The sequence below is a fragment of the Homo sapiens genome, chromosome 6 (genome assembly GCF_000001405.40).
Source record: "Homo sapiens chromosome 6, GRCh38.p14 Primary Assembly".
Lineage (NCBI taxonomy): Eukaryota > Metazoa > Chordata > Mammalia > Primates > Hominidae > Homo > Homo sapiens.
Window position 1 is genome coordinate 63,618,615 of NC_000006.12, and position 13,988 is coordinate 63,632,602.

The following is a 13,988-nucleotide window of genomic DNA, read 5'->3' on the forward strand; positions in this document are numbered from 1 at the left end:
GACAGGCTGGGCGCAGTGGCTCACTCCTGTAGTTCTAGCACTTTGGGAGGCCAAGGCGGGTGGATGTCAGGAGTTTGAGACCAGCCTGGCAAACATGGTGAAACCCCGTCTCTACTAAAGAAACAAAGTTAGCCAGGCGTGGTGGCAGGTGCCTGTAATCCCAGCTACTTGGGAGGCTGAGGCAGGAGAATTGCTTGAACCTGGGAGGCAGAGGTTGCAGTGAGCCGAGATTGTGCTCCTGGGCAACAGGGCGAGATTCTGTCAAAAAAAAAAAAAAAAAGAAAGAAAGAAAAAGAAAGGAAGGAAGGAAAGAAAGAAAAAGAAAAAGAAAGAAAAAGAGAGAGGACAGTGTGGAGAAGCAACAAAAAGTCAGAATGGGAATGCTGAGACTTTGTTCTAGGATATAATTTTTTGTTGTTTTTGTTGTTTTTGAGACAGAGTCTCATTCTGTTGCCCAGGCTGGAGTGCACTGGCATGATCTTAGCTCACTGCAACCTCCACCTCCTGGGTTCAAGTGATTCTCCTGCCTCAGCCTCCCAAGGAGCTGGGATTAGAGGCAACTGCCACCACGCCTGGCTAATTTTTGTATTTTTAATAGAGACGGAGTGTCTCCATGTTGGCAGGCAGGTCTCGAACTCCTGACCTCAAGTGATCCACCCACCTTGGCCTCCCAAAGTGCTGGGATTACAGGCGTGAGCCACTTCACCTGGCCAGAAGCTCATGTTTTATGTTATTTTGTCAATAAACTACCATACATATTCCAACTTCCAGAAATTCATTGAAAACTCTGGTTAACTAATCAGCCACTTCCCATTTTACTTACTGCTATGGGGTTATTTCCTTCGTATTTCTTTACTATCGTTTCAATGATGTTGATGAATAGAGGAGCATTAAGTAAGTATACTCAGCTTCCTTTATTCATTTCACAAATATTTATTGAGTTCATATCAGGTCAATATTAACATGAGATTGGCTTGGTGCGTTTGCAGATTTTCTCACTCTAGAAGGCCATTTTTCTTCAGTAAGACATGAAGGACCCTAAAGCCTACCCCACAACCACAGCTCCACTGACAGAAAACTAGATGGAGCTGATTGACTGTATGCCAAGCCAGCAGCTAGACTCCTTCTCCCTTCCACTCTTAGGCTTTTTAAACTTTCTCTCACCTTGCTTGCCCTTCCTTTCCAGTCTGGCTCCCTTAAGAGTATGGAATAAATTCTTAAGAGTATGGAATAAATGACAAGACATTAGAGAATTATTAGGTCACATTTGAAGGAAAAAAAAGAACCTAGAGAGTTATTCTAACAAGAAAGCTGTTTTTGGCCAACAGCATTTTCCCATTTTAAGTATAGGAGTCGAATGTGGAATCTTTATGGAGTAACAAGGAAGATAAATCAACCAAGGTCTGGAACAAAGGTTTGGCGGGGAGCTCCAAAGAATCCTCCCTGCAATAAATGGGAGCTATTCTTTCAAACTGTGGATGACCTGGAAATGGAAGAGCCTATGTAGAATCACAGTCCAGTTGAATCTACTGGAATATCCAGAGAAACTCAAGACTTGAATTTGGTTTACAATTGTCCGGACTTATAACAGCCCCAGACATGAGTACTAAGTCTTTCTGGAGGAGAGTATCTTCAAAACATTTCAATTTCAATCACAATGCCCAGCAAACAGACAATCAAGCCTCCCACCCCCAAATTAGTCTCCATGAGCAAAAGGCAGGCCCTCAGAGACTTTAGATGTAGGGATTACCAAATGCAGAGTCTAAGAACACTATGCTGACCGTTTAAAGAAATAAAAGACGAGACTGAAGATATCTGCAGAAAATAGATTATGAAATGATACCTGAGGGTAAGTGTGAAGGATGGATTAGTCTTTCAATCTTGAGAATGTAGCAGGAGAGGAGGTGTACCCCTCATGGGCTTGGAAAATGATATTATAATTAATAAAAAGAACTGACAGAATCTGAATATTTACTGTATACCAACTGTTTAGTCTGCTAAACCTGCCATAACAAAATATCACCGTGGCTTAATGTAAGAGTTAGGAAAACAAATTGTTTTTCCTATTTTTACACACTCAACACAACATAGAAAACTGATACCATATGTAGGAGGATTTTCCCTCACACACAAAGGACTTCCTCAGTGGACACCAATTAGGCATCCTATAATCCAATTAATTCAATTCAAACACTATCTACTTGAGTTAGAGTTAGACCCCACAGTTTTTGTTTGTTTGTTTGTTTGTTTTTTTGAGACAATCTCTCTCTGTTACTCAGGCTGGAGGGCAGGGGTCGACCTCGGCTCACTGGAACCTCCGCCTCCCAGGTTCAAGCAATTCTCATGCCTCAGCCTCATGAGTAGCTGGGACCACAGGCATGCACCACCATGCCCAGCTAATTTTTTTAGATCCCACAGATTAAGAACTCAGTCCCACGAGACTGGCTTCACTTGAGGCATCAATTGCAAGTCCCAGGTTGTGACTTGTACTTCTGACCAACCAACTATAAACTGGGATTCCCATGACCAACTCCTCTTGTTCAATAATTTGCTACGACACTCAAAGAATTCAGGGAAACACTTTATGTTTACTCATTATAAGGATATCACAAAGAATACAGGTGAACAGCCAGATAGAAGAGATGCACAGGGAGGGAGAGGTATGGGGGGGCTTTCATACCCTCTCCAGGCACACCATCTTCCAAGCACCTCCACATGTTCAGCAACCTAGAAGCTGTCTGAATCCTGTCTTTTTAGGTTTTTATGGAGGTTTCATTACATAGGTATGACTGAATACAACACTGGCTATTGGTGATCAACTCAACCTTCAGCCCCTCTCTCCTCCCCAGAAATTGGGAATGACACTGAAAGTTTCAATCTTCTGGTCATACGATTGCTTCCCTTGGGAATAAGCTCCTATCCTGAGGCTACTCAGGAGCCCACCAAAAGTCACCTCATTAGAACAAAAGATCCTCCTATAACCCAGGAAATATCAAGATATTTAGGAGGTCTGTGTCAGGAATCAGGATCAAAGACCAAATGCCAAAAGTGAAGATTCTCCTAGCACCCCTATCTACAAGGGTTTTAGTGGCTTAAAGTCAGGAACTGGGGCATATATATATATACACACACATATATATACACATATATATACACACACATATATATACACATATATATACATATATACACATATATACACATATACACATATATAAATACACGTATATATATATAAATACACATATATACACATATATGTATACACGTATATATATATATATATACACACGTGTATATACGTGTGTATATATATATATACCCAATGTAACTGTATTTGGAGATAGGGCTTTTTGGAATTGTTTTTTGATGTTCTCATACAAACTATTCAAGCAAGATGGAATATCTGCTATTACATATATAAAAGGCTACTGGAACAAAATACTTTTTACCATACTTGGCAGATGATAATGCTAGCCTGGCAGGACTTACTAACAATGAGTGATTACCTGCAAAAGATGTTAATTGGCTGCTTAAGGAGAAACCAAATTGATGTGTCCTGAGAGGGCAAGCATTTCTCATACGGAACCTAGCATTAAGATCCTCCTGTTATTTAAATTCAAGGGAGATTTTGGAAATCATAAGCACGTAATGAAAACTGAGAAGGAGATTAAAATATTGGAAGTGATTTTTTTTTCTTAAAACCAAATCTGTGTTCCTCTGCCACATTTTTAGATCCAAAGCTTAAAACATTAAATGTGTTTGTATAAATTACATATCTATATATAATTATTTCACACTTAAGCAACAAAAATTTCTTTTCTCACAGTTCTGGAGGTTAGAAGTCTGAGATCAAGGTGTTGGCAGGGTTGGTTCCTTATGAGGCCTCTCTCCTTGGCTTGCAGATGGCTGTCTCCAATACCAGTCATATGAGGCCGTCCTTATGACCTCATTTAACTTTAGTTAGCTCCTAAAAGGCCCTATCTCCAAATACAGTTACATTGGGAGTTAGGGCTTCAACATATAAATTTTAGGGGCACACAATTCAGTCCATAACACCAAGTGATGTTCTAAGAGCTTTACAGTAATTATTTAATCTTCACAACAATCCTAGGAAATAGGCGCTCTTGTCATTTCCATTTGTTTAGACGAAAAAACTAACCCACCAAGAGGCTAAGCAATTTGCCTTACATTATACAGTATGTCATTGGAACAACTGGTAAAGCCAGTATTGGATAGGAGGAATATGTGCTCTTAACCATTACAATATACTGAGAAGTAGAAGGTTTTGGGAGCTTGTGTTCAAAAGGGCGAAATTGTCCTGGACTCAGACGAATCTAATGTTTCAGAACTTCTTTTGGCTTAGAGGGTGGTGGTGCACATAAAGCACCTCAGATGTGAAGGAAGACCCTGGCCCAGCACCACTTTTCCTAAAAGGGCTCACTCAGGCACGAGCCCTACATCCTACCTCATGGTGCCAAGCAGAGGCGATGCACTACTTCCCCTATCACCCGGCGAGTTAGAGACCAGCCCATACTCAAGTTTTGAAACATGGCTCCCTAATATCCAAGGAGTCACCTAATAAGATGTCCTCTACTTTCTGTGGTCTAAGATGCTACTTATCAGTCTTTCTAATTATTGCAGTAGCCAGATCATTTTCTCATCTACTACATTTTTATCTGTTAGCTTCCAGGCCAGCTGCTGTTCTGCGCTAATCTCCCCTCTTGGCTTTTGTCAGAGATTCATTCATTCATTCAATACATATTTATTGAACCACTACTATGTACTTGACACTGTTTGAGGAGCTAGGTGTATATCAGTGAATAAAACAGTCAAAAATCCCTGCCTTCAAATAACTTGCATTCTAGTGCCTTTTACTGAGAATTCTCCCATTGCTATTTGATTGGGCCAGAGGTCAGACTAGTGCATAGTAATTGGGATCAGGAGAACAAGTGAAAGTCCAGTTGCAAATATTTGATATACATTATGTATAAAAATATTTAGAAAAAATATTTAGAAGGATACACATTACATGGAGTAAAATTGGTAGTGAGGGCAGGTATGCGGGGACTTCTACTTTTATAACTTCTTTAAGGTTTGTTTTTAAATCAATAAACATGTGTTACTTTTTTTTGAGACACGGTCTCCCTCTGTTGCTCAGGCTGGAGCATAGTGGTGTGATCATAGCTCACTGCAGCATCAATTCCTGGGCTCAAATGATCCTCCCACCTTGTTTTTCCAAAATACTGGGATTACAGGCATGAGCCACTGCATCTAGAAAAGAGCCTCTCTTATATCGAGATAAGAAAGAAAAAGAAAAGAGCAGATACAGATTATGTTTAGATACAGATTGAAGCAAATCTGATCAAATGAAGAAAAAGCTTCGATCAAAGTTCTGAGGAAAAAGCATAGAGTGAGGAGGCGAGGCAGAAAGACCTGAGTTCAAATTATAACTTCATGACTCCTGGCTAAAACCTGCATCCAGTTACTTAAACTTTCTTATCTCCAAATGAGATTAACAATCTTGTAGGATTGTAGAGGCACTTAAATGTAATAATGTGTGTACAGTGTTCAGCAATCGTTCTCAACAAACGTGGCTTGTTTTCTCTGTTAGCCCCTTCCCTGGCCTCCTGGACAGAAGTTTGTAAGAGTCTAATTCAAGAGCAGTTATTTAACAGCTCAGCATAGTCAGTCTCACTGTTGCTTTGGCTCTGACCTTGGCACCTAAAAGCCCCAGTGCATGAGTCCACATCATAAATTTACATTTCCAGGTTACTGGTACAATATCCTATAAACCATTCTCCTCTCTGGGACCAGGTTCCTACCCAAGCACCTGCCCTTCCAGGGCTAAGTTTCTTACTTGGAACCTCATTCACTCCTGTGGCTAGATTACCTATCATTTCCCTATGATGACACTTTCAGATATCTGCTGCTGAAATTCTAAAATTCTGCCCATAGAGCTATGACCCAATTCGACAAAAGAATTTGTGGCCATACTCCCAAGTCCAGAGGCCAAGCCTTCATCTAATTGTGTGGGTCTATGTTTCTTGCATACTGAACTTGCAAACACTTCAGAATGTAACTGAGATTACTGATGCTCCTGGCATCAGATTTTGGTGGCCACTCTAACCACACTGATTAAGAAAATACGTATTTTGTAGTGAGAAGAGGTATTGTTAACTGTTTGCTCTATTGTAGATCCAACTCACTTCCAGTGAGACTCCTTGAGACAGTGTAAATCCTACAAATGATACTGTCGTTTCCTTTGTAGTCCAGACTTTGCCTTGGTTATGAGCTCAAATCTTCAATACCACTTTGGTTTTGGCTTTTCTTTGGATGGCTAAATAGCTGAGTACATTTTTCAGCGTTATTCTATACATCCCTGAACTTGAACAGTGATTCTGTGAACACATAGGTTACTATCCTAAACAATAAGCCTGACAACCTAGTATATACACTAAACATGTCACTTGAATGTATTGATATCTGAATATACACTTTAAAATATAAATAAGTATCCTAAAAATCAAAGTCCTCAAGGGCTTTAAATTTGGAAACTTTATCAATTACTTAAAGTACAAATATATATATTTATATTATTACAAGAGTAAATGATGCAGTGATTAATGATGATTATAAAAGTTGTTAATTTAATGCACCAAGACAATTTCTAAGGATTTTCAAATATTAAATACAAAAGGTTATAGAGTTATGATTCATATCAATGTTAAAAGAAAATGTTGGCTAGACAACTTTAAGAATAGTGTATCAATTTCGAGTCAAGAGATGTTTGCAAAAATTTCAAAAATAGTATCAGACAGAATAATAGAGATTAGATTTTATCATCATCATAGTTATAATCTTTGCAGAACTTTTAAAAATTAGAATTCATAGCATCAAAATAATTTTTAAGAATTGTATTTTAAATTTTGTTATTTAACTTCATTTGTATTATGAAGTTTTTGAAGAAAAAAATTCCTTTTGAGAATCTTTCACTTATGTGAGGAAGAATTAAAAGTAGAATATTAATTTGATAGACTCAGATTTTGGAATTGTTTTTTCATGTTCTCATACAAACTATTCAAGCAAGATGGAATATCTGCTATTACATATGCTATTACATATTTTGCGGGAACAAAATAAAGACTTTTTACCATACTTGGTAGATTATAATGCTAGCCTGGCAGGACTTACTAACAATGAATGATTACCTGCAAAAGATGTTAGTTGGCTGCTTAAGAAGAAACCAAATTGGGCCGGGGGCGGTGGCTCACGCCTGTAATCCCAGCACTTTGGGGGGCCGAGGCGGGCGGATCACGAGGTCAGGAGATCGAGACCATCCTGGCTAACACGGTGAAACTCCGTGTCTACTAATAATACAAAAAATTAGCCGGGCGCGGTGGCGGGCGCCTGTAGTCCCAGCTACTCGGGAGGCTGAGGCAGGAGAATGGCGTGAACTGGGGAGGCGGAGCTTGCAGTGAGCCGAGATTGCGCCACTGCACTCCAGCCTAGGCAACAGAGCCAGACTCCGTCTCAAAAAAAAAAAAAAGAAACCAAATTGACGTGTCCTGAGAGGGCAAGCATTTCTCACATGCTGGCATTAAGATCCTCCTGTCATTTAAATTCAAGGGAGATTTTGGAAATTATAAGCACATAATGAAAACTGAGGAGGAGGTTAAAATATTGGAAGTGATTTTTTTTTCTTAAAACCAAATTTGTGTTCCTCTGCCACATTTTTAGATCCAAAGCTTAAAACATTAAATGTGTTTGTATAAAAGAAGTAGTTCATGAAAAAATATTAAATGTGGGCCGGGCCCGGTGGCTCACACCTGTAATCCCAGCACTTTGCGATGCCGAGGCAGGCGGATCACAAGGTGAAGAGATTGAGACCATCCTGGCCAACATGGTGAAACCTCGCTCTACTAAAAATACAAAAATTAGCTGGGCGTGGTGACCACTCCTGTAGTCCCAGCTACTCAGGAGGCTGAGGCAGGAGAATCCCTTGAACCCAGGAGGTGCAGGTTGCAGTGAGCCAAGATTGCACCACTGCACTCCAGCCTGGCGATAGAGCGAGACTCCATCTCAAATAAATAAATAAGCACATGTGAAAGCAACGATTTTCTAATTTTACTTTTTATTGTGAAATTTTAAAAACATACATAAAAGCAGAGTGAGAACAGTATTATAAGCCCTCTTGTACCCATCTCCTAGTATTTATAATTATTAGCATTTTGTCATTCTTCTTTCATCTAGCCTCCATCCATTAATTTTAATCTTAATTATTTTTTCTGGAGTTTTTAAAATAAAATTCTAGATAACAGACAGTTTCACCTATATGAGTGTCCACAAGAATTTCTAAAAAACAAGGGATTTTTAGAAAACATAGCTCAATACAGTTATCACACTAAACAAAAATTTCTAAAGGCCTTAAATATTTAGTCTGTTCAATTTTCTCCAATTGCCTTAAAATGTCTTTACGTTTCAGTTATTAGTTTGTTCAGTTGCTTACTAGTCTGTTCAAACCAGAATCCAAAGAAAATCCACATACTGTATTTGTTTCATGTGTTTTTTAAGTCTCTTTTAATCAATAATATTTCACCTTCCCTTTCTAGTTTTTTTTTAAATGTCATTAATCTATTGAAGAAACTGGGTCATTTGACTTTCAGAAATTTCCACCTTCTGAATTTCCCTGATGGCATATGCATAGCGAAGGGCACAACAATCTTAAGACCTTTTCTGAAAATAATCAGAAACATCTTCTTGAAGCAGTACACAAAACTTTGTATCATAAGCTTTTCTTTAAATATGTATCAAAAGTATTGGCTGGGCATGGTGGCTCATGCACGTAATCCATGTAATTGCAGCACTTTAGGAGGCTGAGGCGGGTGGGCGAGTCACCTGAGGTTAAGAGTTCAAGACCAGCCTGGCCAACATGGCGAAACCAAGTCTCTACTAATAATACAAAAATTAGCCCAGCGTGCATGGTGGCATGCACCTGTAATCCCAGCTATCCGGAGGTGGAGGTTGCAGTGAGCCAAGATCGTGCCACTGCACTCCAGCCTGGGGGACAGAGTCAAACTGTGTCTATAAATAAATAAATAAATAAATAAATAAAGTATAATCAGGAAGGACTATCTTGTCTGGCCTCACATGCATGATTGTGTCAGCTTCCAGAGATCACCTGAAGCAATTTCCTGGGTATAAGATTTCTGCTACATCCTCCTCTCAACCTCTACACGTTGCCATGCTCCACAGATCCATCTCAGCTCCTTTTATCCTTCTGTCTACATTTACTCCTCAGGTAATCTAATCTAGTCCTGTGGCTTTAAGTATCATCTAGTGTATGCTGACTGCTTGAAAAATTCATAACTTCAGCTCTACCATCACTCCTGAATTCTAAGCTTTTATATCCAACTATTCATTTTAAAGTCTCACTTGGATATCTCACAGATATTTCCAACATAAAATTTGTGAAATGCCTACCACAGAATCATTGTACCCCTGCACCCTAATCTGCTCCCACACCAATCTTCTCCAAATCCAGCAAATAATACCATCTTTCATCCTGTTACTTAGATGCCAAATCTTGAACTTCTTAACTTCTTTCTCCTTAGTCCCGCATCTAATCCATTAGTATACCTTGCCAGTTCTACTTACAAAAGATAGTCTGGCTGTGTTTAAATCTCCTTCAATCCTATTATTACCACACTGGTCCATGCAACACTATTTTTCTCAGCCTCTTGGATTTCTACAATGGAATATCTGTTATTTTCGCTTTTATAGGCATTCAACCATAATTGTTCACTCTTGTTTGGCTGAAATTCATTTTCCTTAAAGTAGTTTGAGCAATGTGTAAGACAAATCAAAGAATAGAAAACAAAGATGTAGTAGAGTGGATTAACAAAGCTGAAAATGATTTAAAATGATAACAAAATAGACAAACCTTTGGTAAAATTATTCAAACAAAATTGTAGAAAGCAGAACCTTAGAAAAATGAGGAAAAAAATGTTGATAAAGCTATAAATAAATACAAAGGACCTGAAAAAGTAAGAGAATAATAAAAATAAAAAGTTTGTGCTACTAAATAGGAAAATGTAGACATTATGAACAATTTCCTAGGAAACTATAACAACTAATTAGACTCAAGAGAAAACAGAAAATATGAGTAGGTTTATTGAAAATCATACAATGGGATACTACTTCACACCTAATGAGATATAAATAATCAAAGAGTCAGATAATAACAAGTGTTGGAGAGGAAGTGGAGAAATTAGAACCTGTATACATTACTGTTTAGGAATGTAAAATGGTACAGCTGCTTTGAAAGACAGTTTGGCAATTCTTAAAACTGTTAAACATAGGCCAGGCATGGTTGCTCACGCCTATATTCCCAGCACTTTGGGAGGCTGAGGCAGGTGGATTGCTTGATGCCAGGAGTTCCAGGTGGCCAGACCAGCGAGGCCAACATGGTGAGACCCCATCTCTACTAAAAATACAAAAATTATCCAGGCATGGTGGTGCACACCTGTAATCCCAGCTACTTGGGGGGCTGAGGCACGAGAATTGCTTGAACCCAGGAGGCGGAGTTTGCAGTGAACTGAGATTGTGCCACTACACTCCAGCTTAGGTGACAGAGCAAGACTCTGTCTCAAAAAAAAAAAAAAAAATTGCTAGACATAAAGCTGTCATAAGACCCAGAAATTTCATTTCTAAGTATAACCACAAGAGAAGTGAAAGTGTATGTCCACACAGAAGCTTGTATATGTTTATGTCGCATTATTCATAAAGGCCAAAAAGTAGGAACAACCCAAATGTCCATCAATGTCAGTGGATTAAAATTGTGGTATACCCATACAATAAAATATTATTGGTAATAAAAAGAAGTGCAGTACTGATGCTCGCTATAACATGAACAAACCTTGAACACATTAAAGCTAAGTAAAAGAAGTCAGTCACAAGAGACCACGTTATATGATTCCATTTGTAAGAAGTGTCCAGAATAGACAAATCCAGAGACAATTAATGACATATTAGTGGTTGCCTAGGGCTGGTGAGGGAATAAAGCATGGGTGGTAACGACCAAAAGGTATGGAATATTTTTGGCACTATGAAAATGATCTAAAATTGACTGTGGTGATGGTTGTACAATTCTGTGCTAAATGCACTAAATATACTAAAAAAGTACCAAAAAATCATTGAGTGGTACACTTTAAATGGGCAAATTATATGGTATGTGAATTATATCTTAATAACAACTGTTACCAAAAAAATCAGATGTCACTTTTTGCTTTTAACACTCCCACAGCTTCTCATTTTATTTACAGTAGATTCTAAACATCTTGCCTTGTTCTTGCTAATCTCTCATCTTTCTGTCTTGCACCCTATACTCCAGTCAGACTAGCCTTCTTTCTGCTTCTAGAACCTCCCAAATGTGTTACTACTATAGTATCTTGGAATTAGCCTTTTCTTCTTCTAGAATGTTCTTATCATATGACTTCCCTGGTTGTCTGCTATCACACAATTTCACCTTTTCAACTCCCAGCACCTCCTCTAGTTTGAGGAAATCCTCATTTCTGGCCCTCCCTTCCAATCTTTCCAATATGTCTTCTGAATTCCAATTTGTGATCAACCAAGTTTTCTACATATTTGTATTGGCGGGACTTCCTGAAAAAAATGTCCTTGTAGAGCCTGGACCCTCCAAGCAAATTTTACATTTTCTTGAGGCTTTCTCTCTCTGTAGACATTAAGTTGTACACAAGATTTTACAACTTTTTTCTTCTGTTATAGTTGGAATTTAAACACAAATTACAAACAAGTTATTGGCTTTTAGTGAAATAATCTGAAAGGCTTATGAGTGGGCACCTAGCTCAGGAATGCTAGCATGGTCCCTTTTGAGAAAAGGCATGGTTCTATTTAGCCCCATAAGAAGCAGGTCCCCTAACCCTCATTCCAAAGGCAGCCTTGCCTAATGGACATGCATTCTGCTCTTGCTCCAATTTACTGTGCTTGCAGTTCAAGTTGCTTCTCCACCTTTGGACTGGTTGATGCAGCATCTTGGGAAACCACAAACTTCAGGGGACACTTAACCTTTAGTCTTCTGCCTGGAGTAGGGAGAGCTATAACATTTGCTGTGTTTTTAAACTAAAGACCCTTCCTTTTGCTTCTCTACTTTCTGGGCCTAGGAGCATGCAACATAAACTTGCTTTCAATCGTATCTTGTGATTCTAATTCTGAATGTGCTCAGAGTACAAATGATTGCTCTAGCAACTGGGAAACCAGTCTTTAGTCAGATAAAAGTTGTATTTCACTATCCCATATCAGGTGCCCTTCACCTCTTTGTTGTAACTGAAGTCTGGTAGATTCATTTTGAGGTAATTTTTGTACGTGGTTTGAGGTGGGGGTTCCACTCCATTCTTTTGTAGGTGGCTGATCAGTGGTTCCCAGGACCATGTGTTGAAAAGACTATTCTTTCCCCATTGTATTCTTGGCACTCTTGTCAAAAGTCTTTTGAAAATAGACACATGGTTTTATTTCTAAACTTTCAATTCTATTCCATTGATGTATATGTCTATCTTTATGCCAGTACCACACTGTCTTGATTACTGTTACTTCATTATAAGTGTTGAAATCAGGAAGTGTGTGTCCTCCACCTTTCCACTTCTTTTTCAATATTGTTTTGGCTATTCTGGGTTGTTTCTTTATATGTATAGCTTTCCTTTTGTGTACATATAAAAAACACACATTTTTTTCCTGTTATGCTGCTTAAATGTTTTATATTTTTGTTGGAATTTATTTTCCCTACTGTACTCTACTGATGATTGCTGTTTATGGGAAAGCCATTATTTTTTTCACTGATTTTTAAATAGTACCAAGGCAACTCTTTACTGCTAGCAGTTGTTTTGTTGATTCTCTGTTAGGCAGTTTTTATTATATGCAAATAATGGTCTTTTGTGTCCTTTCTTTTTTTATAGCTACTATTTCTTTTCTTGCCTTTTAGTATTGGCAAATATTGAATAATGGTGGTGATAGTGGCAGCCTTGTGTAACCCTGGTTTGAGTGGAGATGCGTCTATCTTTCCACCATTAAGTGTGATGGTGCATTGAACTGCATCTTTAAGGGATGCAGGAACAATTCAGATAAAGTGAGAGGAGGAATTATGAGGCTTTTGGGGTCATTTGGGAGGGGGCATTCCTGTCAGAAGGAGCAGCATGAGCAAAAACTTTAGGTTGAGGGACATTGTGTGGATGTGTGTAGAAAACAGTAAGTAATTAGGTATTGTTGTATCATAAGTTAAAAAGCAGGAAACAGGGAGAGAAGAGACTGAAGAGTTGGCAAGGACCAATCCTAAAGGGCCTTGATTACATTAAGAAGTTTGGATTTTATTTTTATTTTTATTTTTCGAGATGGAGTCTCACTTTGTCACCAAGGCTGGAGTGCAGTGGTGTGATCTTGGCTCACTGCAACCGCCACCTCCTGGGTTCAAGCAATTCTCCTGTCTCAGCCTCCTGAGTAGCTGGGATCACAGGCACGCACCACCATGCTTGGCTAAGTTTTGTATTTTTAGTAGAGACAAGGTTTTCCCATGTTGGCCAGGCTGGTCTCAAACTCTTGACCTCAGGTGATCTACCTGCCTCAGCCTCCCAAAGTGCTGGGATCACAGGCGTGAGCCACCGCGCCCCCCCTGGATTTTATTCTTTATATTTTGGAGAACTATGAAAAGATTTCAAGTAGGGAGGTAATATTGTCACTGAGGGACAACATCACAGATAGTTTCTTTGTTAAAAGAATTTTGATTATTTTCATGGCTGCAACATGTTCAATTCAGATAATGAATCATTTGTAGTTCCTGAAACACACCAAGCTCTCTGGTACTTCTTTGACCTTGAGGACATCCCTTTTGTCAGAAATGCCCCCATACCCACTCCAGGCCAGATAAAACACGAATATGGGTCTTTTGCATCAACTGCTGTCACACCAGGCTGAATCCT